At 33.0% G+C, this 25,808-nt stretch overlaps 1 pseudogene, besides 1 other annotated feature; it reads right to left on the bottom strand.

Moving 5' to 3' along the window:
- Positions 8,310-8,510: a silencer, noted in NCBI's record as "peak5172 fragment used in MPRA reporter construct". NCBI's record gives its function as "represses an SCP1 promoter by STARR-seq MPRAs in K562 erythroleukemia cells {active_cell/tissue: K562}" and the evidence as "EXISTENCE:reporter gene assay evidence [ECO:0000049][PMID:32103011]".
- Positions 20,095-20,656, bottom strand: LOC100421308 (phosphoribosyl pyrophosphate synthetase 2 pseudogene; annotated as a pseudogene).

Genomic DNA, 25,808 nt, shown 5'->3' with positions numbered 1-25,808 from the left:
AACGATCCTGTATTTATGGGTTGTTAGGCTTAATATTAAAATGGCAATCCTCCCCAAATTGACATACAAACTTGATTCAATCTCTATCCATATCCCATCTGGCTTTATTCCAAGTGTTAACAAGCTGATCCTAAAATTTATATGAAAAGCAAAGGACCTATGATAATCAAAGCAATCTTAAAAATGTGTAAAGTTGAAGAATTTACACTTCCTCATTCAAAACTTACTACAAGACTACAGTCATTAAAGACAATATAGCTAGCATAAGACTAGACACATAGATCAATGGAATAGGATTGAGATACTAGAAATAAACCTTGATGTTTATTTTCTATTGATTTTGCACAAGGGTGCCACGACAATTCAATGAGGAAAGAATATTAATTTTAGTAAATGACACTGAAACAATGGGAAATCTTCATGCAAAAAAAAAAAAATGAAGTTGGGCTGTCCCTTACAGGATATACAAAAGTTAACTTAAAATAGACCAAAGACTGAAATGTAGGATCTAAAAGTATAAAAGCCTTGGATGAAAACACAGGCATAAATCCTCCTGACTTTGAGCAAGACAATGATTTTAGATATAACTCCAAAAGCATTCCTACTGAAAAATAGATAAATTGGACTTCATTACAATTAAATATAAAACCTTTGAGCTTCAAATACTATCATCAAGAAAGTAAAAAGACAACTCACAAAATGCGAGAAAACGTTTGATATATATTTGGTAAGAAACTCTATCTAGAATATATAAAAACTCCAATAATTCAATAATAAAAACACAAAGTACATAATTTAAAAATATCATAGAATTTGAGCATTTTTCTAAAGAAGAAATACAAACGGCCTATAAGTATATGAAAAGATGTTCTACATTCTTAGTGATTATCAAAATGCAAGTTAAAACCACAATGAGATTCCACTTTGCTTCTACTAGATTGGCTATAATAAAAATAATATAAAAGAATGTGTTGGGGATCATGTGAAGGGATTCAAAGAGTCATATATTGTTGGTAGACTATTAAATGGTACAATCATTTTAGAAAGTGTTTTGTCAATCCCACAAAAAAATTAAACATAGACCCCGTGTTCAACTCTTAGGTAAACATCCAAAAGAACCAAAAACATAATACACCCATTAGAAACTTTGCACATATCATAATAGACAAAACGTTAAAACAACACAAATATCTATCAACAGAGAAATGGACTTAAAAAAATGTGTATACATACAGTGAAATAATGCTTGGAAATACAATGAAATAAAATAGTGGTACATGCACAACATGGAGAAACTGTGAAAATATTATCCAAAGTGAAATAAGCTATATACAAAAGACTACATATTATATGCTTCAGTTGATTTTAAATGCCCAGAATAGTCAAATCTATAGAGATATAAGGCAGATTAATGGTTTTCAGGGAATGTGGAGAGGCTGGAAGGGACATAAGTACTAATGCATATAGAATTTCTTTGAGGGTAATTAAAGTGATTGTGGTAAGGTTCTATAACCTTGTAATATACTAAAAGCAGGTGAATAGTTTACTTTAAAAGTGTGAGTTTTGTAGTATAGAAATGTCTCAAAAAAATAAAGGAAGTGCCATCAACACAGTTGACTCAGAAATCAGAACCTTCATCCACAAATAAAGGGCAATTCTGAAAATCTGTATTCACACAAAAGAGATTGACTCAGTTGACTCAGAAATCAGAATGTTCATCCATAAATAAAGTGCAATTCTGAAAATCTGTATTCACACAAAAGAGATTGAATATGACAGTTTCTGAGCAAGTGAAGGTTATGTTATGTAACAAATTAGGATTAATACAAGAAAACAGAAACTTCTATAGCTATTTCATGTAGAAGAATATTTTTTAATCTGTATGGTTTGTATTTATTTTAGAGGAAATTATTTAGATGTAAAATGCTTTAAAGAATAATAAACAAAACCTCTATGAATCGAACAAATACATGCCCTATTTTACTACATTACTTCATATTATTTTATTTCAATAATAAAATATTATAATTGTTTATCTGAATAAGGGATTTTTATTGATAAAACTTTCCAAAATTAAATTATAATGTTAGTTGCATAACTCTGTAAATGTTCTAAATAGCATGGAATTGTACACTTTAAGCAGGTGAATTTTATATTATGCGAACTATATACATCGATAAGTCCTGTTATAAAAAATTATAAGAAATAGATATCTTCAGGTATCTTTTGAACTTTTATCTGATTTTATTACCTTTCCCATTTACCAGTTTGCTATGATCAAGTTAGTATCCTTTCTCATAATATTTTACACATTTCTTCAATCTATAAGGAGCTTTACAAATATCATGTATTGATTGTTTACATTTAAAAAACTGAAAATGATGTCTTCTGTACATATACTTTTTCAATGACTACATTATTTAATTTTAATGTTCAGTTTTATAATTATTAATAGAAAGCAAGTTAATTTTCATCCTCTATCAAATTAATTTGGATATTCAAATATATTTATATGTGTAGTAGTGACAAGTCATATTTCACTTTTTTATGGTTGCAAATAATGCAACTATAAACATTCTTGTACATGTCATCTTTGTACATATATGTATATAGGAGAAAAAATTCAACTAGACATTCACAGTTGAAGGACATGCACATTGTCACTTACTAGATATTGACAATTTGTTCTTCATAATATTTGATTGTACCAAGAGTAGGTGATATGGTGTGGATCCATGTCCTTCCCCAAATCTCATGTTGAAATGTAAACCCCGATGTTGGAGGTGGAGCCTGGTGGAAGGTGATTTGTCATGGGGGTGGTTTCTCATAAACGGTTTAGCAAAATCCTCGTAGTGCTGTTCTTGTGATAGAATTCTAATGAGATCTGTTTGTTTAGAAGTCTGCAGCACTTTCCCTCTCTCTCTCTTCCTCCTGCTCAAGCCATGTGAAGATGCCTGCTCCTACATCTCCTTCCGCCATGATTGTAAGTTCCCTCAGGCCTCTCCAGAAGCAGACACTAACATGCTTCCTATATAGCCTGCAGAACTGTGAGCAAATATAACCTCTTTTCTTACAATTTACCCAGTCTCAGGCATTTATTTATAAAAATGTGAGAATGAACTAATACAGTAGGTTTATAAGAGAAAATGTTACTTTCTCTCTTTAGTAAGTCTTTTATTCAGGAGAGTTTAAACATGAATTATGTTTTTTAAAAAATTTCCCTGGAAATAAAATTTTCAGGTGATTCTTATATTCAAACATTACTTAGTAGACAGAAATATTCAAATAGAGACCTACACATAAAAACACATAATTTTTTAATCAAATGACTATTTTATTAATTTTTTAAAAATCTTACAACTGAATATTTAATCATTATAATTCTGGAAAAACAAATTGTTATCAATTTGTAATAGAAAAATTTCAAATACTATACAAAACTAGAATTAGTAAAATAATGAATATCCATTTGCTTTTATGACAAAAATGCTTGACAAACTGAATATTGAGGGAACATTCTTCAAAATAATAAAGTCATATGTTGCAAATCTACATACATCATACTGAACAGGGAAAAATTGAAAGCCTTCCTTCTAAGGTCTGGAACTAAACAAGTATGCCCAATTCTATTATTTTTATTCAACATAATACTAGAAGTCCTATCCAGTGCAATTAGAAAGAAGATATAAATAAAGGACACATAAATTGAAAAGGAAGAGGTAAAATTAGCCTTGCTACAGATGGCATGATCTTATATTTAGAAAACCCAAAAGCCGTCACCAAAAACTGTTAGAACTAATAAATAAATTCAGTAAAGTTTCAGGTTACAGAATCAAAACACAAAAATTACTAACATAAACAGTGAACAATCAGTTCACATAAACAGTGAACAATCAGTGAACAATCAGAAAAAGAAATAAAGAAAGTGAACAAATTTATAATAGCTACAAAAAATGTAAAATACCTATGAATAAATTAACCAAGAAGTGAAAGACCTTGGCAAGAAAAGCTATAAACCACTGAGGAAAACAAGTGAAGAGGACACAGATGAGAAGATATCCCATGCTCATGAATGGGAAGAATTAATACTGTAAAATGTCTGCTCTACCAAAGGTGATCTACAGATACAGTCAATCCCTATCAAAATATCAATAACATTCTTCACAGAAATAGAAAAAAAAATCTTGAAATATATATAGAATTACAAAAGATGTTGAATTGTCAAAGCAATCCTAGGTAAAAATAACAAGGCTGGAAGAATCATACTCTCTTACCTCAGAATGTATTACAGAGCCATAGTGGCCAAAACAGAAAGGTACTGGAATAAAAACAGACACATAAACCAATGGGACAGAATAGATAATCCAAAAATGAATTCACACTCCATTTACAGCTAACTCAATTTCAACAAGGCACCATATATTGGAAAAACAACGGTCTCATCAATTAATAGTGCTGGGAAAACTGGATATCCATATGCAGAAGAACGAAACTACATATCTCTCATAAAATCAAATCAAAATAAATTAAAGAAAAATCTAAGACCTTGAACTGAAACTGCTACAAGAAAACTTTAGGAAAATCCTCCAGGACATTGTTCTTGGCAAAGATTTTTTTAGTAAGACCTCAAAAGCATGGGCAACCAAAGCAAAAACAGGCAAATTAAATTACATCAAGCTAGAATGTTTCTGCATAGCAAAGGAAACAGTCAACGAAGTGAATAGACAAGCCACAGAATTGGAGAAAACATTTGCAAACTATCCATCTGACAAGACGTTAATAACCAGAATATATAAGGGACTGGGTTCAATAGCCCAAAACCAATTAATCTAATTAAAAATAGAAGATCTGAGTAGACATTTCTTAAAGAAAACATACAAATGGCCAACAGGTATATTTAAAAATACTTGACATCTCTAAACATCAGAGAAACATGAATAAAAACCACAATGAGACATCAACTTGCTCCAGTTAACATGGCCAGGGAATAATGGATGCTGATGCCAAGATGGAGAAAAGGGAACCCTCATACACTGTTGCAGGAATGTAATTTGTACAACCACTGTTAAAAATAGCATTAAGCTTCCTCAAAAAAACTAAAAATACAACTACCAGATGATCCAGCAGTCTCACTGCCAGGTATATACCCAAACGAAAAAAGGAAATAGGTATATCAAAGACATATCTGCACAAACATGTTTATGGCAGCACTATTCATAATAGCCAAATATAGAATCAACCTAAGTGTCCATCAACAGATGAATGGATGAAAAATATGATATATATGCACAAAGCAATATTATTCAGCCATAAAATAAAATAAAATCTTGCCATTTGCAGCAGTATGGATGGAATTGGACATCATTCCCTCCCTACTGTCTTTCTTTTCTTCCTTCCTTCCTTCCTTCCTCCCTTCCTCCTTTCCCTTTCTTCTCATTTTCTCTTTCTTTCCCTTCTTCTTTCTCTCTCTCATTATCATTTCCTCTTTGATATTGGAAGATATTAATGTGCAAAGCAGAAATGCAAACTCTATGCAATTATCAGGAGTTTTTAAATAGCAATATTCTAATTATAACTTTTATTGCCATTATTATCTGAAATAATTACATGAAGAAAATGAATGTGCTCATTAACTACTCTGTTATTGTTAGTGTAAGAAAGTACATATATATATGTTTAATTCTGTACATTTAAGCAATTTATATTTTTCTCATTTGAATAACAGATTTAAACATATTTTATGTGTTTTAATCCATTGTGCTTATTATTTATAATGACATGTTATGTTCCAACTTTTGCCAGTGAGAACATTTCTTAGTTGATAGTTGAGTCCCTTTGACATTACCCAGTGTCTTTGAAAGCTTCCTTGCTTCCTTAAATGACACAACATTGCTTGGTTCTTCCATAATTCCAGTCCAAGTCTTGGAAATAACCATTTCTCCAAGAGGTTCTGGGAAGTTTAGATACCACAATATGGATTCTAGCATGCATTTCCCATGAAAAGAAGTGGAAAATACGAATGTTTTATAAAATACAAAATGCATAATGAGTTCACACTGGTAATTCTAACTCAAGATCATTGTACAAGTTTTTATTTAATAGTTTCAATCTTACACCTGTATCACCTTTCTCCCAAGGATAAAAATGTTCAGATTTCAGTATAACTACTCATTTGATGTCTTTTGTAGTATTCACACAACAGTTTCAGAATAACAATAGACACAACTCACAATGACATAATTACTAAAACATTTATTTTTATCATAATTTATTTGATTAAGCGATATTATATTAGAAATATTTTGTCAAATTACTCTGTTTTGACATCACGTGTGATCTCCGTCTCTGCATTGTATTGCCATCTGGTCTTACAGTATTTTGTTACTTGAATAATTTATTTATTAGATTCATATAGCTTCTAATATAGATTTTTTGAAGATTAATTTTATTTTATATTTGTTTGAAATGTGTTCATGGATCCAAAGCCAAATACAGAAAACAAAGTATTTTTAAAATATAAATTTCAAATTCTGGGCTTCCGTCTTATACTATCTTATCCTGTTTATTATTATTAATATTTTAATTTATATTTTAGACCCATGTTTTTAATATAAAGGGTAACATCCTATTCACATTTAATTTTATATTGTTTTTCTTAGCAATTTATCCTGGATGTTGTCAGAAGTACCAGTAGAGGAATATTCTTTATACAATTTTACAGCTGCATATCATCCCATTGTATGGGTATACCAATGACATTCAACCAATCTTCTCTTAATGAATATCCAATCCATTTTAAATATTTTGCTATTATTAATATTACAATAAATAACCTGAATCATGCATCTTTTTCTAGTATCACCATTTGTATTTGGATTAAATTTCTGAAAGTGGCATTTCTGGATGAAAGAATCAATACATATTGAATCTTCTTTAATATTTTAATATTCCATATTGATTCCAATTTCATGCCTAGGTACTTGATTTTTATTTTTGCTATTATAAATGGGTACCTGCTTTCTATATAATATGAAGCTAAGGATTCCACTTTATTTATGAAAGCTATTGACTGTGTATTAACTTTATAAGCCTCTATTTACTAAATTTTCCCTTCTGGTATACTGGTATTTTAGTTGACTCTCTCCTGTTGTGAAGAAAAGAGAAAGCTTACTTTTCCTTTGTGTAGGGCCAATTGATAAATATAGATTTTTCTAATATTTCATAAAACTCACCTGCCCTTTATTTCCTTGGAGCTGAGTTCAGACTGCTGATCTCTCTTATTGCAATGGTTTTGAATAAAGTCTTTCTTACATATTTAATTTTGTTAGGTGCAATTTTTGCTTTGAGTTTAGTTTTCTTGTCTTATGGGCATATACTTGTTACCAGCCCTCATTGTCTATAGGGACCTTATTATGTTCTTTGGTCTTTTTTCCTAACAATAAATTTTTGTAGGATTCAATTGCAATTCTTTTTCTGCCTCTTATGTTTAGGCGATATGAGTTGCTTTGCACTTTTAACAGGAACTGGAAAATAGAATTGCTTTTCTAGCTTCAGGGACTTAGAGTTGCCTTTTTAGTTGTTTTTAAAAAGTGATAAAAAATATGTCTTACACTCTGATATTTGCCTCCTCTGATTTACCCCCCCCCACTTTTTATCTGTTTCATTACTCCTCTTTCCCTTGTTGCAGGTGTCCTGTTCAATTTAGATTATATTCCTAACATTAACTCTTCAGGGCAGCAGTTTGCCCTCAAAGGGAGCTTTTGTTTACTAGTTTCAAAAATTTACATTCCAAAGTCAATGTTTGCCTTTTCCAAACCTCTCATGCTACTTTGAAATACCCATAAATTAGAATTTGAAAAATACCGTCAGTTTTGGTTGTTGTGCTTAGATTATGCCACATCCTAGTTAATAAGAACCTGCTGGATAATTTGATATTTTCCAGTTTAGAGTTCTGTTGCTATTCTTCTGATTCTTCCAGCAAAGTATCTGATATATATTATTAGATTATTTTAGTAGCAGGAAGTTTGTACATACTACATTTATTTGATGATTTCTGGGTGTTATAGATTGAATTCATTCCAGGAAGATGAAATCCCAACCCCCAGTACTGGTGAATGTAACCTTGTTTGGAAATAGTCTTTGCCGATGAACAAGTTAAGATAAGGTCATTAGGGTGGCCCTTAACACAATATGACTGATATCCTCATCAAAAGGGAAAATTTTGTAAACAGAAATAGATAAGCATACAAGGAAAACATGATGTGAAGAGAAACAGGGAGAAGATGGTCAATAGCAAGCAAGGAATGACTGAAGCTATCAGAAGATAGGAGAGAAGCCTGGAACCAACCCTTTCCAAGAAACTTCAGGGGAGCATGTCCCTGCCAACACATAGATTTCAGACATCTGTTCTGCAGGACCGAGAGATAAGAAATTCTTTTGTTCTAAGACACCTAGATTTTGGCACGTCGTTGTGGCATCCCTAGCAAACACGGGGGTTATCTAACTAAATTTAATTGCAGATATTTTCCATGGGTATTTCGTGTTGCTATTCCAGTAACTCTGTATGTATTTTCTGGGAAATTTAATGACATTCAAAAACTGCTGCCATTATCCCCAGATAATTTCCCCTACTTAAATTTTAAACTCCTTCCTCTATTTTGTATAATTTGAAATACACAAGTCTAGCTATACTTGTCCTTCCTTATACAAGTCTATCATATTTCTAATCTATATTGCCTCTAAGAATAGGCTGATCTTTTAGCTGTTGCCACAGATCCCTACAGGTCAAAAATACCAGTTGCCACAGCAATGTTTCCACCAGTTTTGTAGCAAACAACATTGCTGCTGGTGTTTAAGTACTACCAACTGGTTTCAGCTTTTTAAAAACAAATCAAGTTAACATAGACCAATGGCAGCGGCTCTTATCATCAATTATGACCTGATAGGGCATTCTTATTGGACTACTTTTGGTTGTCAATGCCACTCACACATTGTGATATACCTTATGTTTTTAGTAAAAGGAATGTTTTCTGAACTCTTTTCAGGAGCATTGGAAGGTTTGCCCTCTGGTTTCATGTCATTTATCAATGATCATATTCCCAATTCTTAACCTTCCTCAAAGTTCCAGCAACACAGTTTTGGCATATTAACTTCAATTTACTATACCAATATATAAGTACTAGTCAATTTATTATGACTGTATCATAATATCTAACATCCCAGGAGCATCCAAGAAGCATATTAGACATGTCCCATTTTATCTGGCCAGGATATTAAATGCTGAATCAAAGGAGAGATTCCCCATGCCAATATTTTCTCCCCTATTCAGCCATATTTTTGGTTGACTCTCTCTTTTACTTGTACCTTTAAGATCCATTGCTGCGATTCCCCCATCAAACGTGCCTGTTAGTCATGTTAGCCTGGTTCGGAAATTTCTTCAATGAAAATATTATTTTACCTCAAAACAGAAAATGGCATTACCATTATTGGTCCATAGGCAATGAAAGAGTGGGAAGCACAGCTTGATGGTAAAAAATATTATTTCAAGGCATTTTATTAACGTGATAATTGGCATCTTCACTGAGCAAGAAGAGGCTGCTTTCCTCAAAAAGAAAGATGGAAAGGCAACTTCTCTTCATCCAGAATATTCATGCAAATCTGGAATTTAACAAAGACAATTTACAACACAATTGCTATATTTTACAGTTATCTCATACCATTAAAGTCTTGGAATTACTGAGAGGCCACTGCTTCTTTTTTATGTCTCATCCCAATCCAGCCACACTGAGAGAGTCTTATTAATTATGATACTATTGTGCGTCCACGTGCATACCACCTGACTTCTACTACATGCCTTTACTTGATTTTTACTATAAATGGAAACTGAGACAAAGACTTGGTTTCAGGTAAGGGATTTTGGAGGTGATGTCTGAAAGCAGAACTGACAAAATGAGATGAGTGAGACAGAAAAGTGAAAAAAGATAGTAGAGTATATATTAATGATCTGGTTAATACTATGGAAAACTGTGGCTCTGTCTTTTTCAAGACCATCTGTAGAAACATGTAGCTTGAATCTCAGAATTTTTTTTTCTAGATGTAGAACTGGGATATTTATTCACAAACTCTAACTCACTTCTTCACCCCCCATTTATTAAGGGATATCACTGGGGATGAGTTATACTTCTGTCCTCTTGGAATGCTTTCCTGGTGGGCTACGGAGACTCTCAAAGCTTTAGAGAAAATCACAAATCAGAAAATTTGAGACATATGGCAAAAACGTGAGGTTAAATGTTGCAGAAAACATGAGACCTGTTCATTAGATATGTAGCTGATGTCAAAAGTAGTAGAAGGAAATGCAACACCAAAGTAAAAAATGCCTTGCTAAATAAATAGGTAAATAAATCTAAATATCTCAAATTTCTCAAATATTTAATTCATTACCTATATAGGTTTTATTCTCAAATAAATTATAGGAAATTTTACAATGCTATGAAATACACAATCAAGTACTATAGATTTATAAAGCCAACTTTTTTAGAAAAATATTTTTAGGAGTGGGATCAAGATGGAAGGAGGTAGTATGTGCCCCCTCCATGGAGAGAAAAATGAACAGTAAGTAGATAATCATATTCAGAAGAGAACGCTAGGATTCACCAGAGAAGAGACAGGAAGCACCAGAAATAAATAAGGAGAGGATTCAAAGCAGCTTGCCCACCTGGGAACTGACTCAGAGCCAGGAGACGCTCCTGGATGTGCAGAAAAAGTATAAAAGAAACATCACTGCTTCAAACTGGGATTTTACAATCTTTGCAGTGGAAGAATTGCTCAACCCAGTAAAGCATAGGCCTGATATATGGAGCTGCCTAAAGATTGCATAGAGACATTGAAATAGAACACACACAGAATGCCACGGGCATCCAAGCCTGGAGCAGTATCAGCTTGCAACCATTGTGAGAACCCTGAAACTGGGAATCTATAGGCATGGCTGCTGCTGCTGTCTCCTCCAAGTAAGGAGAAGGGTGACCAGGTGTTCTTATGCATCTATAGTAGGGTCCCTGCCCCCTTGCTCTGGGCTGCTGTTAAGACTGAGATGTAAACAAACCACACACCCCACAGCTTCTTGCCCGTGCTGCTTTCCTGCGAGGGACTCTTCCCTCTAGTTCCAGGCCCAGGGTACAATTTTGAGTTAAACACTGAGCTGCATCCTACTCTTGGCCTGAGTTCAGGCAGACATGCATCTACAGTCACCACCCAGGCCAAGGAAGGACAGGGAAACTGGACTATCCTATGCATATCGAGGTGAATTAGTATGTTTTTATAGTATATAAGATACTACTTGAGACTGGATAATTCATAAGCAAAAGAGGTTTAACTGACTCACAGTTCTGCATGGCTGGCAAGGCCTCAGGAAACTTCAATCATGGGGGAAGGCAAAGGAGAAGGAGGCACCTTCTTCACAAGACAACGGGAGAGAGAGAGTGAAGTGGGAATTGCCAAACACTTTTAAAACAATCATCTCTCATGAGAACTCCCTCACTACCACAAGAACAGCATGGGAGAAACCACCTTCATGATCCAATCACCTCTGACCAGTTTCCTCCCTTGACACATGGTGATTACAATACAAGATGAGATTTGGGCAGGGACACAGAGCCAAACCATATCACTAGGATAAGACCCATTGACCTGCAACAGGCTGCTGTTGAGACTGATGCATGAATGCACCATACTATCCAGAGCTTATTGTTCAGGTTGCTTGCCTGGTAGGGATTCAGCCTTCTCTGTTCTCACAGTACCATTCTGAGAGTTTAATGTTGGGCTGTGCCCCACTTTCAGTACGAGTTTGAGGTGAAGCAGTTGCATCCACTACCCAACTGGAAGAGGGACAGGGGAAACCAAGTTCTCCTAAGCACACTTAAGACAATACCCATTACCTTGCTGTGGGCAGCTGTGGGGTTGTGAACCAGCCTTTCCAACAGATCTAGCTTCTACCAACAAAAATATGAACCACTTGGGTCCCAGTGGGCTGCTCCACCACTGCTGCTGCCATTACTGACACCACACCAGCTCCTCAGTGGCCTAAGAAACCACTCACACACTGGGCCCACCATTCCCACTGCTAACTTCTGAGGAGGCCACTTGAAGGCCCAAGAATCAGCCCTCCAGGACCCACTAAGTCTACAGCCAGCGTAAACTGCTCTGAGACTTACAAACAGAGAGACTTACCACACTGCTTTCAGCACTGGGGCCAAAAGACTGGCTCAATTGCCACCCAAGTCCCCAGCTAAACTTTACCACAACTCAACTGTTAACTGTACCCTAAGTCACTGAGGACATCCAGAGATCACTGACCCTGTGTACTGCCAAATAAGTCACACAAAATTCATGCTACTGCAGGCACCCAAAACAAAAGGCAAAGTATCTTACCCAATGACATACATACATCTTCAGGAAAATAAAATTTGAATGAGGAACTGCTACACCCACATATGCAGATATCAATGGAAAGACTCAAGAAACTTGAAAAAGCAGGGAAATATGACACCACCAAGGGCTATAACTATCCAGCAATAGATTCCAATTACTATTTCATATTTTCATGGTATAATGGAATATGTGAAGACTTAATATATCACTAAAATTAGCCTGTATGATTTCAAAATATTATCTTTGGACTGCTTGTGGCATTCAATGCTTTATGACATTGTATGAAGGTATTTTGCCATTTTTGGAGGCCAGTGTGATGAAATAATTCATCTATATTTCACCATTTGAAATCAAAGCCAAATAATAATTTTCATGGGAATTCCATAACTATTAGATAACCTCATCAAAGACTGAACATGCCCTAAAATAACTACACTGTTTACTTGGTCTTTGCTATAGACTGAATGTATGTGCCTACACAAAATTCAGATGTTGAAGCTGAAACCCAAATATGATGGTATTTGGAGGTAGGGCATTTGGGTGGTAATTAGGTCATACTGGTAGAGCTCTCAAAATGGGGTTAGAGCCCTTATAAAAAGAGACATGAAAGAGGAAGCTGTCTTCTCTCTTTCCCCTTCCCACCATGTGAGAACACAAGAATAAGGCCATCTGAAAATCGGGAGAACTCTCACCAGAAACTGATCCACCCAGCACCTGGATCTTGAACTTCCCATCCTCCACAACTGTGAGAAATAAGTGTTTTTTGGTTTGTTTGTTTAAATTGTCTATAGTATTTTGTTATAGCAGCCCCAAATGACTAAGAGAGCCTTAGGCCAGTCTAATTTGCACTAATGTTTATGTCTGTTGGAGTTTAATTTTTTTTTTTTGCTCTTATCGTGCTGTATTATAATTTCAACTCACCAAGACTGACCAGGATTCAGCCATACTTCACCATAGCATGAAATGAGATGTGGAAAAAATAACATAACTTCAAAAGAAAACAAAAATAACATCACAAGTTTAAAACAGTCAATAGAACTACAGGGTCTGCAGAGATAATGAAGAACATGGCTACAAAAAGTTGCCAAATCACCTCCCCAAAAAATTTAAAAAGAGCCCTGACTATGAAAATATGGAGAAAACGAACTTAATTTACCTGAAGATCCATTTGTTCCAGATCCCAATGCCTTTTTTATTTGTTTTGACACCATATAAGTCGTAACATGAAGCCACAAAAGTTTCATATTTTCAAAGCAACACTATTTCCTGTGCTCTAAGAAAGCAATTTGTGGTTTCATATAGAATAAGAAAAAAATAACACATCCAAGCTTAAAACTGATGGATTATATTACTGAGACATCATGGAAAGTTGCATTCTTAGATTAGGGGGAAAAAAGTTATGTTACACTTGCTCTAAAGCTTCTAAAAAATAGCTGCAAATGTTATGACAAATATCAGGCACTGAGAAAAAGCAATATGAGCTGTTGGCAAAACTCTTTTATCAGACAACATGTTGGGCATCACCCAATTACTATCACATTTGTCTGGCTAGAAAGTTTTTGCTTTACACTTGGATGAAACCAATTATGTATAGTGTATAAATCAGCCTTTGGCACTTTGTTTTTATATATATATATAGATATAAACTTTATATAAAAAGGCCATATCTCAAAAAAAGAGATATAGTCCCCAGATTTTGACCTATTCATCACTGAAGTGCCCCGCTATGCGACAAGAGGTTTATTTAGGGAATTATGCTATGAATTGTAATGTAGCCTAGGAAAAGATGCTTATTAGGATCAATGCCAATGAAATTATAGTTTTGTGTAAAGAAAATCGAATATTATGCAAATAACTATATGCCATTTTGGTCACAATGTAAAGATGTTGGTCAACAATATATTGCCTTTAAATTTGTTTTAATAAATTAAACATTTTATAAATCTTTGCTTTAAATGTCCATAATATTTGTAGTTTGTATGGCAAAATTTAATTTAGTGGATTATGGGCACAAGATACATGCAAAGTTTTACTGCTTCCTAGTATTGCAAGTTCAATTACTAATATTCTCTCAATCTAAGCTTATGAAACTCTATATTGAGATAAAGCTAAAAAATTCATACAGTTGCTCTGAGGAACAAAAGGTTATATACAATGTCTCAAATATTACAAAATTAAATTTTCTGCTAAGAAACACATTTACATATATAATTATATACATGAGTTTGTGAATATATAGGCATATATACATGCATATATTATATCTACACATTTACTTATTTATTCATTTACTTACCTATTTTTATATTTTTAAAGAGTGTGCCCAGTCAGAGATCAGAGAATGATTATTCCTTAAAAGAAATAAACCTAAGCACACTTCGCTGTCTCCATAAGAATAAGCTTTCTGGGCACACTTATGCACTCTTGGTGGGAATGTAAATTAGCTCAGCCACTGTGAAAAGCAGTTCAGAGATTTCTCAAAGAACTTAAAACAGAACTACTATTTGGCCCAGCAATTACATTACTGGCTATATATCCAAAAGAACATAAATCATCCTACCAAAAAGACACAACCACTCATATGTTCATCATAGCAAAATTCACAAGAACAAAGACAAAAAACAAAGAATCAACCTAGATGCCCATCAATGATGGATTGGATTGAGAAAATGTGGTACACATTATACACCATGGAATAATATGTAGCTACGAAATCATGTCTTTTGCAGCAACATGGATGCAGCTGGAGGTCGTTATCCTAAGCGCATTAATGCAAGAACAGAAAACCAGATATCACCTGTTATCACTTATAAGTGAGAATTAAACATTGAGTACACATGGACATGACAATGGGAACAACAGATACTGAGGACTACTAGAGGGAAAAGGGTAGAAGGAGGACAAAGGTTGAAAAACTACCTCTCTCTTAGGTGCTATGCTCACTACCTGGGTGACAGGATTATTTGTACCCCAAACCTCAGTGACACTCAATTTACCCATGTAACAAACCTTCACCTGTAATTTCTAAACCTAAAATAAAAGTTGAAAAAAAAAAGACTTTTCTCTTTTGTGTCTTCTCGTTTTAACTTTACAACTTTTTCTATATAGCACTAGAGACAACAATTGAAAAGGTATTTATAGGACTTTGAAATAATTAGGAAAATACTATTAGAGATTAAAAGATATGAAGATGACCTAGGTGGGATGAAAGATTAGTAAAATAAAATCTTTGAGCATAGAAATATTTTTAGTGTATATGAGCCATTCATTTTAAAATAAAGTTTATCACATTGATGCATATTAATGTGGCCACTAAAATAGAAAATGCTGCATGAATTATATACCAAAATATCACACATTATTTATTATTTTTAGATATATTTTGTTGTGTACTGATAATATAAAAAAGAAATAAATATTGGATAAAAGTGAAAATACAATAATATTAGATATAGTTTCAATATTTGGGTTAAATAAATTGTTTTCAATTGTACCTGGCTTTTCAGTTTCCACCTTCTCATTTTTTCCAGTACATTCATTAATCTCAATATTCAATATGAAGAATTGATAAGAAAAGTTTAATTAGTTTATTTGTAATTAGTCTGGATATGGGAGATCAAAATGTAATAAAAATATAATTTTTCTATAAAGTAAAAATATCTATTCTTTGAATTTTATTAATATTTTAAAATATCTTCTCAGCATATGAAGCATTTAAATTATACCATGAGCAAACTAAAAAAAAAATCCCAACAACTCAAGTTTATTTAGACACGCCTTTATTTGCACTTGAATATAATTTAATGACTATCAAAGAAATGAATAATTTCAAGATCTCTTTCCATGTATTGTAACTTTTCTTTAGTTAGCATTTTATAAATCACTGCCAAAATAATATATAGTTTCATGTTTGTATTAAAGAATTTCATGTGCTTAGTCAATTCCCTTTTAAAGTATCCATAACATTAGTGTAATTTTCAAATGGACCATAACAAAAATCACTTATTGACCATAAGTTATAATACATAATTACATAATGTAAATATTAAAATATATAAATGTATAATACACAATATAAATATTAAAATATATACATGCTCATCAAATGAGAACTGGCCAAGTAAAATTCAAATAACGACTTTGATTCAAATTCCCATGTTGGTAGTTTTCCCAGGAAAATCCTTTTCAATGTTCTAAGCCACCTTTCATCCTTCTTATCATACTTAAGTATTTGTTTCTCAGTCAACAACCTACTAAGGTAAAAGAATCTCATAAGGCTTTAATTATAAACAGATTGACTTCGTTATAATGCTGCTGTTGCAAAGCAAGTACACATGCTTGAAGTGTTAAATTTGTAATTTTCTTTTAACAGTAGAGTTTCTAACACATAGGTATTTATTTGCACATAGATAATCTATGGCCACCTCTGGTCAATCCATGATTATACTAAATTGACCTCATAAAAAGACTATTGGAAAAAGTTCGTCTTTGCTGTCACAACTGCACCTGCCACAACTTCAGCAGGATCCCTAGCCTTAAGCTGTTGACATAATTAGGCTGATTCATTCAGGTAATTTTGCAGAAACAGTTTTTTAGTAATTAGTCTGGATATGGGAGATCAAAATGTAACAAAAATATAATTTTTCTATACAGTAAAAAGAATATTCTTTAAATTTTATTAATATTTTAAAATATCTTCTCAGCATATGAAGTATGTAAATTATACCATGAGCAAACTAAAAAAATACTCCCAACAATTCAAATTTTCTTCTGATGGGAGATACAGAAAAAATGATATTTACTATTTTACAGCTATTTGGTCCAGGCAGGATACTTCACTTAGCCACATGCAAAAATATAAAATTGGACCCATATCTTACATTATACATAAAAATTAATTTCACTTAGATTAGGCTCTTAAATGTAATATCAGAAATTGTACAACTTCTAGAAGCACAGGCAACAACAACAACAAAAAATAGGTAAGTGGGACTACATCAGGCTAAATAGCTTCTGCACAAAAAAGGAAACAATCAACAAAATGAAACCTACAGAATGGTGGAAAATATTTGCAAATTACATATCTAATATGGAATTAATATCCCAAATATATAAGGAATTCACATAATTCAATAGCAAACATAATTAATGGCTCAATTAAAAATGGTCAAAAGACTTGAACATATATTTCTCAAGAAGACATACAAATGGCCAACAGGTATATGAAAAGATGCTCAACATTATTGATCAGGAAAATGCAATCCAAATCACAATGAGATGTCACCTCAAACTTGTTAGGATGGCCATTATAAAAAAGGTAAAATTAAAAAAAAACTGTTAGCAAAAAGGTGGAAAGATTGATACCCTTTTATATTGCTGGTGGGAATGTAAAAATGGTGCAGCCACTACGGAAAACAATTTGGAGATACCTCAAGAAAATAAAAATAGAGCTATCATAAGATGCAGCAATCTTAATTTTGAGTATTTATTCAAAATAATTAAAACAGTGTCTCAAATAGAGATTTGCACTCCTATGCTCATCACAGCATTATTCACAATAGCCAAGATGTGGAAGCAATCTTAATGTCCATTGATGGATTAACGAATAAATCAAATGTGGTATATTCTTACAATGGAATATTATTATTCATTCTTAGAAAAAATCCTATCATATGTGACAACATAGATGAACACTGCATACATTATGCTGAATGAAATAAGCGAGTAAGAGAAGGAAAAAAAAAAACACATGATCCCACTTACATAAAGTATCTAAAGTAGCCAAACCCATCAATCAGACTGGAAAGTAGAGTCATAGTTGCCAGGGGCTGAGATATGAGGAAATGGAGATTTGCTGATCACACTGTATAAAGTCTGATTATTCAAGATGAGAACGTTTTAGAGATCTTCTGTGCAACATTGTACTTATAGTTCACGATACTGTATTGTAAACTTACATATTTTTTAAGATGGTGGATCTCAGGGGTGTGTGTGTGTGTGTGTGTGTGTGTGTGTGTGTGTGTGTTTCACCACAATAAAAGAAAATAATACAGAATCTACCTTTATAAAATGAAAATTAGCTTTTCTTGGGTAAACACTCTCTAATCTAATTTTTAACCTTGAATTCAGTTTGCCTCTTTTGACTTCTATTTTTATTTACCTTATGCATCTTTGCCAACACATTTTCTTTTTCTTTACATTTTAAACTTCCTATAATGGAAGATTCAAGAATACCCATAAGTGGTGAGAATGATAATATAATAATAATATTGATAATGAATTGATAATTATGATTGCCCATACACCATCAACCACCTACTACAATTACACACTAATAACCAAGCTTGTTTGATATGTTCCTAGACATTGTACTAAAGACCTCTGCATTACAACTTGAATAGTATTAAAGTTAGGCAAAATAACATTGCATCTGCAAACATCTATAAGAGATCATGATTCTTTTTAAAAATCACAATCATAATAGCATTCTCACAACTTACAAAAATAGCATCAATCAATCTCATCAAATACTCGTTCAAAAGTAAATTTGTCTTTGTTTTGAGATAATGTGTTCTGTGAATAAAATCTCTGTTTAAAAAAATAAGCAATTTTATTTCTTCATTCCTGAGATATGTGTCTTTTATGTATTTTTCTTCTTTTATATTCTGGCTAGATATTGTAGCACAATTTTGAGCAGAAGTAGTTCAGAAAAAAACCTTTTCTTTGTTTCTAGTTTTAGGGGCAACACGATCAGTCTTTGCCATTAAGTAATTAAATTTTATTAATATTTTAAAATATCTTCTCAACGTATAAAGTACGTAAATGTTAGTTGTAGGTTTTAAAATATTTATTGTTAAGTTGAGAAAGTACCCTTATATTATTAGTTTGCTTAAGAGTTTTCATCATGTATGTGTCATTATATCAAATGATTTCCTTTGTCTGCAATGATTGAAATTATCTTTGTTTTTCTCCTTTTTTCTGTTTATATTTAACACGGATAATCATACTGATTGATTTCCTATTGTAAACAAATTTTCATTCCTGAGATAAGAATTATTTGGTTATTTTTCTTAATGCAGGTTTCCTATAAGTTCCTCTGCAAGTAGCTTTAGCAGACATTGATAATCATATTATAGATCCCTTATTTCATTATAAATCGAAAAATTGGGATAGTATCATTCCATCATCAGTCTATCACATCATTGTCAATTATCAGGTAGAATACTACTATAAACAAAATCTACTTCATCTTCAGTTCATTATGATAACTCCAGATCAAATTTGGTAATAAGATTATTTGATTTTATTTTTATTTATCTCTCTTACCTCTTATATGGAAATATTAGTTTCTAATGACACTGTTACTTATTTATTTTTTAATACATATATATTTTAGAATAAAATAATGTTAATATTATTTCTGACCATTTTTGAAGCCTAATTATTTTCCATCTTTTGTTATAAATGTGCTTTGAGTATATTTCTTAGTTCATAAAAATTACATACTTTGGGCTTTAAATAAACTATTTTCTTCTGACAGAAAAGCATAGCTATTGTCTGTGATCATCCAAATACAATCCTTTAGCACTATACTGATACATTCCAAATTGAACAGGGCACCTTTCTGCATGACATCATTCCCACCACATATGTTTTGGACTCTTCAGTTAAATACCAGGAATCTTCAATAAGCTGAATTATAGAGCAGTGCTGTATTTTTACCCTCCTGGAAACTGTGATTTGTGATGATAAAACCCTTAAAGGTGGCTTTATTAATAATTGAAAGAGATCATCCGCACGATTCCACAAGTAGGAGAAGCACAAAGAATGGTTGTTATGACCAAAATAACTTCTCTGATATGTATCCTGTTGTGCTACGTATGCCTGCCATGCCAGCAAGTGTATGTCCACGTAATACTGGAGGTCATTCGTGAAAAACACCTTATCTGTTTTATTATATTTTTTTCCATCTTATGAGTCAGAGCAAACTTCACCTTAAGTCTGTCCATAATTTATAGGGATGCTTGGTTTCAGCAACATCAGGTAAAATAAAGATACTATTTCTCCATTCTGCAATGTGTTCTCAAATTCATTGCAGAACTGCTGTTTCTGTACATAAGTCACTCACAGAAAGATCAAAGAATGCTTATATCTGGAAAACAAGTAAGTTCATAGTGATTAGGTGATCCACTTCAGTAACTGAAAACTTATGGGCAACTAGTTTTACATAAAGATTTATGGTTTTTTTTCCTCCTTTCCTTTCTTTGATGTTTGCCAGCAATTCTGTCCTCTTCTCTCTCTCTCTGTTGTTCTTTCTCCCTCTCCTGTTTAAATTTTAGAATTATACTGACATTTCTATACCACCAGTGTAGAGATTGTTTTCTTTAAAAGCCAGAATTAAATGTATATTATATTAATATATTAAATTCCCACTCTCTTGAAATTTTAGAAATCTATACCTTAGCTGTCACCCATCTTCACCTCAGCCTAACTCCCATGGTTCTGTTATTTGGATTTTTTTGAGATTTTAGAATATTTATCTGTTAGTCATTTACTTACTATTCTTATCTTTACTTTTCTGATTCAATAACTTTATTACAAATTTTACACTGTAACTCATAATTATTCACTAGATTTGACTATAAAATATAATATCAGTTGGTCACCATTAGTTCATGTACTAATGCCTAATTCAATGTCTTGTTTTGATTCATTTTTAAAATCTCTTTATAGATATTGTTTGTATACCCTATGAGCCTCTCTATATCCCAAAATTGTTTTTCCTTTCTGACAGATGACTAATTTCACTTCTGGATATATTGGGTACAACAGTTCTTTTTTCTTAGTAATCTACAGTCATTGTTCTATTGTCTTCTTGCTGCAAGTTATTCATATGAGAATTCCAACCTAATTGATTCTGTTTTCTTTGATAGCACCATATAGATGAGATTTTCACTTTTAAAAAAGTATCTATTTTTCTTATTATGAAAACACAGATACCCAAATTTTTACATTTGTAAATATGAAATATGTTAGATTGTATTGCTACTCAACATATATTCAATTTTGCTTTTTCTGAGGCATCCCTGACTGAGAAAGGCTTATGCATTCCCATTCCATTCCTGTCATGATAACCCATGCGGCCTGCTTTGTCTAATGAAATATATGTGAATGTGATCAATTCCAGTTGGAAGTTTTAAGCCAGTGCTTGGCTAATCAAATCTCTTTCTCCTTTTATGTGAGCTGAGTGATCTTCCAGCCAGTGGCTACTCTTTCAGCCTGGGTTTCCCGAGTGAAGGTCACTTGGAGGTGAACAACAAGCAAATTAGTGATGGACACATTAAATACAAAAGATTATTGCTTTAAGGTGGAAACATTATGGATTATGTATTATCTCCCTATTAATTAGCTTATCCAGACTCATTCAGAAATTGGTAGAAAAGTTTGGTGCAGCAATAATAAAAAGCTTAACCTAGATGCATGCCTTTGTGGTAGGCAGTAAGCAATAAGGGAAATTTTATTGAAAGTTCAAAACATATTAAGCAATAAAATCTATATTCAGCAATAACAAACATTTAATAATAATGCCTGAGAAAACAGAGAAAGATAATAATGTACCACATGAGCTGGTGGCTTACAAGAAGCTATTTGAAAACAGAATGTTGTAGAATGCCTCACATATTTTAGCTAAATTTGAAAAAAAAATGAAACTATAAGAAAGAAATTATCTCATAAAATCTAACCTGCATGTGAGAAGGAAAGGGAAAGAAGAAAATTCAGGAATTTAGAAATTTGAAGAGATACAAGTTATAACTTATTCTTGTCTCCAACTGGCAATGATAAAACCTTGAGTGGTAGAGAGCAATTAATACTCAGTTTATCAAGGGTTGTGGTCATTACACAATTTGTTAAAATTCAGAATGAATTGAATTAGAAACATGAAAATTCTTTTAGTTGGAAAAAATGGCTAAGAAAAAAGAAAATAAAGTTATGACTTCCCTTTGATGTCTAACAGATGCCTGCAAGTAGCATTTTAAAAAGACAAGCGTGATAAAAATAATAGTGGTTTTGGTTCTCATTACACAGAACTAACTGGAATCTAACAGCTAAGAAACCAACAAATGTATTAAAAAAGGTGAACACCGCGTGAGGCCAAGCGCGGTGGCTCATGCCTGTAATCCCAGCACTTTCGGAGGCCAAGGCAGGCGGATCACGAGGTCAGGAGATGAGACCATCCTAGCTAACATGGTGAAACCCCGTCTATTCTAAAAATACAAAAAATTAGCCAGGCATGGTGGCGGGTGCCTGTAGTCCTAGGTTCTTGGGAGGCTGAGGCAGAAGAATGGCGTGAACCCGGGAGGCGGAGGCAGATCTTGCAGTGAGCCGAGATGGCGCCACTGCACTACAGCCTGGGCGACAGAGCGAGACTCCATCTCAAAAAAAAAAAAAAAAAAAAAAACACGAAAGAGGTGTTCTGTCAAATAGCCATCAGTCTGGTTTAAAATACTGTGTAATTGCTTGATATTTAAAACAAGCAAATAAACAAACAAAAACACCTTTGGGCCCCCAACATACTACAGAAGCTAACTAAATAAGATAAGAAATTCCACACTTCCCAGATATGGATATCCTTAAGTGCTCTTTTCAGGTGCCATCAAAATGAAAAATGAAACAAACAAACAACAACAACACCAAACTCTTCCCAGAAGATGGAGTTAAAAACCGCAGTAACAGGGGATTAGATGCACGCAGGTCCTGATAAATATTCCCCACCACCCAAAATGGGGGAAGGATTTGCATGTTATATGGGTGGAATTTAAAAATTTACATGTGTCAGTGATGGATGTGTTTTTCTTTTTTTATTTTTCTTTCCAAATGTGATTCTTTAATATGATTATCTTCTTCTTTCACTATTAGTTGGGCTTGTGGAGGACAGGAACCTGTTATAGTTTACAGGTATCTAAAAAGGAGGGAACAAATATAATACTCATGTAGACAACATCATGAAATCAGTTAGTATAATTACATAAGTGTATATTCTAGCACATGCTGTTGAGGCCTTGCCTCTAGAACCTGGGTGCTCCTTGCTACCATGTCTTGCTGCTGAGAACACCTGTGCCTCTGCCTAAGGCTTTTCTCTGGGCTGCTTGGTGGATAAAAATCTCAGTTTTGTAGCCCTTGTATGAGGCGACTCAGGCATACTCTGAACTGTCACCCAGAGGGCCCCAGTTCTCCCTAGTGGTCATCCACTCACTAACATACCTTGCATTGACTAATTTCCCTCATCTCTCAGTCTTTACTGTACTCCACAAATGCTTTCTGGGATCGCCTTCCAATAAATCCTTCATCTTCAAATTCTTGTCGCAGGGTTGGCTTCTGGGTAAGTCCAAACAGACATATGTACACGTATGTAAACACACAAATACACCACACTCACAACCCCCCCCACACACACACATATAAATATATAAAAATACACCCTTTCAATGACTTTAGGGCTACAACCTAACTGACATGGGAAGTGGAAAGATATGAGTATTTTCCTAATATATTAATTCTAAAACTTCAAACTATATTTAAACGTTTCAGTAGATTCGATTTTATGTAAGATGTTTAAAATGTCAAGTTAGTAATTTTAATATTGGTTTTCTGTTAAAAATCAAATGCTTCAGCTGAGTAAATATTTATTTCAGTTGATTTGAGAGCCCAATGAGTTTGAGTATTGCAAGATCAGGTAAAAGAATTGCTATTCCATGGAAGTTCTCTGCTGCTGAACAGTTATTGTGCAGTGAAGAAGGAGTTTCAGAAACAAATGCTTTCTCAAAAAATGTGGACAGTTCTTGATTATTTTCTAAGCTTTCCATTTGAAAAAGTTATATTTCACTTTGATGACAATAAATCATTGTGGACAGTTGAAAGCATCGTAATACTTAAAAATAAGCATTATGGCTGGTCTACAAAGTCGGATATTATGTCTTGTGAATGTATATAATAACATGTCTAAGAAGAAATTTTGTAGACATATTGCTTATTAAGAAATTATCCTGCAATTCATATAAAGTGGTCTATGATTATTAGAGCTTTAATGTTATTTTATTTGTAGTCCTTACCTTCTTTTCTTATGCGATATGTGTAAAATTTAAACAAGAAAAAAATTATGTAATTGCATATCAAATAGTTTGTAAATGCTATTTCTCTTTCTGTATTTTGTTATTTTTTTCAGTAAACTTTTGTTAGAGAAAAGCATTTATCACATCCTTAACATACTTACATTACCAAATATATTTAATTTTCTGGCATTGGACACAAACAAATTACCACCACAGAGTATATATCAAACACCAACTCACACAGAAAGCTGGATATCTACCTGAACTAATTGGATATTGCTGGTTAAAAACATTGTTCATATTTTTCTAACATTGTTTTCAAAATTATTTTGATTTTAGTTCATATAGTTGTTATAATTGCATGTACTTTTAGCCATGTTGTTTTAAATTATAACGGAAAGTATTTTGCCAGTTATTGGTTGGATTTGAATTTACTTCCAAATTCTATTCATTTCCTTTAAATAGGCCTCTAGTTTGCAATGGAAAGTGAGTAATAACATTACCTAATGTGAATTTTTCTGCCTTTCCACTAGGCATCTAAAAAATTGCAGTTAAAATTGCAATTAAAAAGTACTTTACCTCTATGTAACACTGATATATGAGAAAGGCAACTTATCCAACTCTCAGAAAAAGATACACCATATAAAAAGTAAATGGAAGTAGAGTACATGGAAAGAATGGTGATGTATTTTGGCCCACAAAAAAAAAAGAGTAATCGTATGTTCCTTTGAAGCAACATAAGAAAACCTCTTCCTTCTGTACTGCTTGCTTTCTTTATTATAACAAACGCACCAATCAACAATCTCTGAAGGTCAGAAGAGTTGCATTTAAGATAGCCAGTGAAATATTTAAAAATGGCTTCTATAATGTAAGAGGCCATAAAGCAAAAAGGCAGAAAGCAGAAATATAGGCAATATCAGAAGTATATTGAAATTTGAAAGTTATAATCTCTACAAGTACATAACAGGGGTTGGAAAGAGAGCAGAGGTTGTTTTAATGACAGAGGCAGAAGAAACCTTCAAGTTCTGTATGCCAGCTATGTGATTTTATATATGATTCATCAATTCCCAGTGACTGAGAAAGTCATAAAGTAGGAAATAAAGATGCTTATAATCATACCACTTAAAAATAAATGGAAAGTAAACTATTCCCAATTCATGAGTGACTCTTTGTTAGGCTAGAACTCATTTTAGCTCATTTAAAATAAGCGTCAAGTCAGAAATCTCCAGACTGCAAAATATCGTGAGAACATTTAGTATTATTTCTGCTGAT

Source organism: Homo sapiens, chromosome 5 (assembly GCF_000001405.40).
Source record: "Homo sapiens chromosome 5, GRCh38.p14 Primary Assembly".
NCBI lineage: Eukaryota > Metazoa > Chordata > Mammalia > Primates > Hominidae > Homo > Homo sapiens.
Note: the sequence above shows the minus strand (reverse complement) of the source record. Positions and strands in the feature narration are given on the sequence as shown.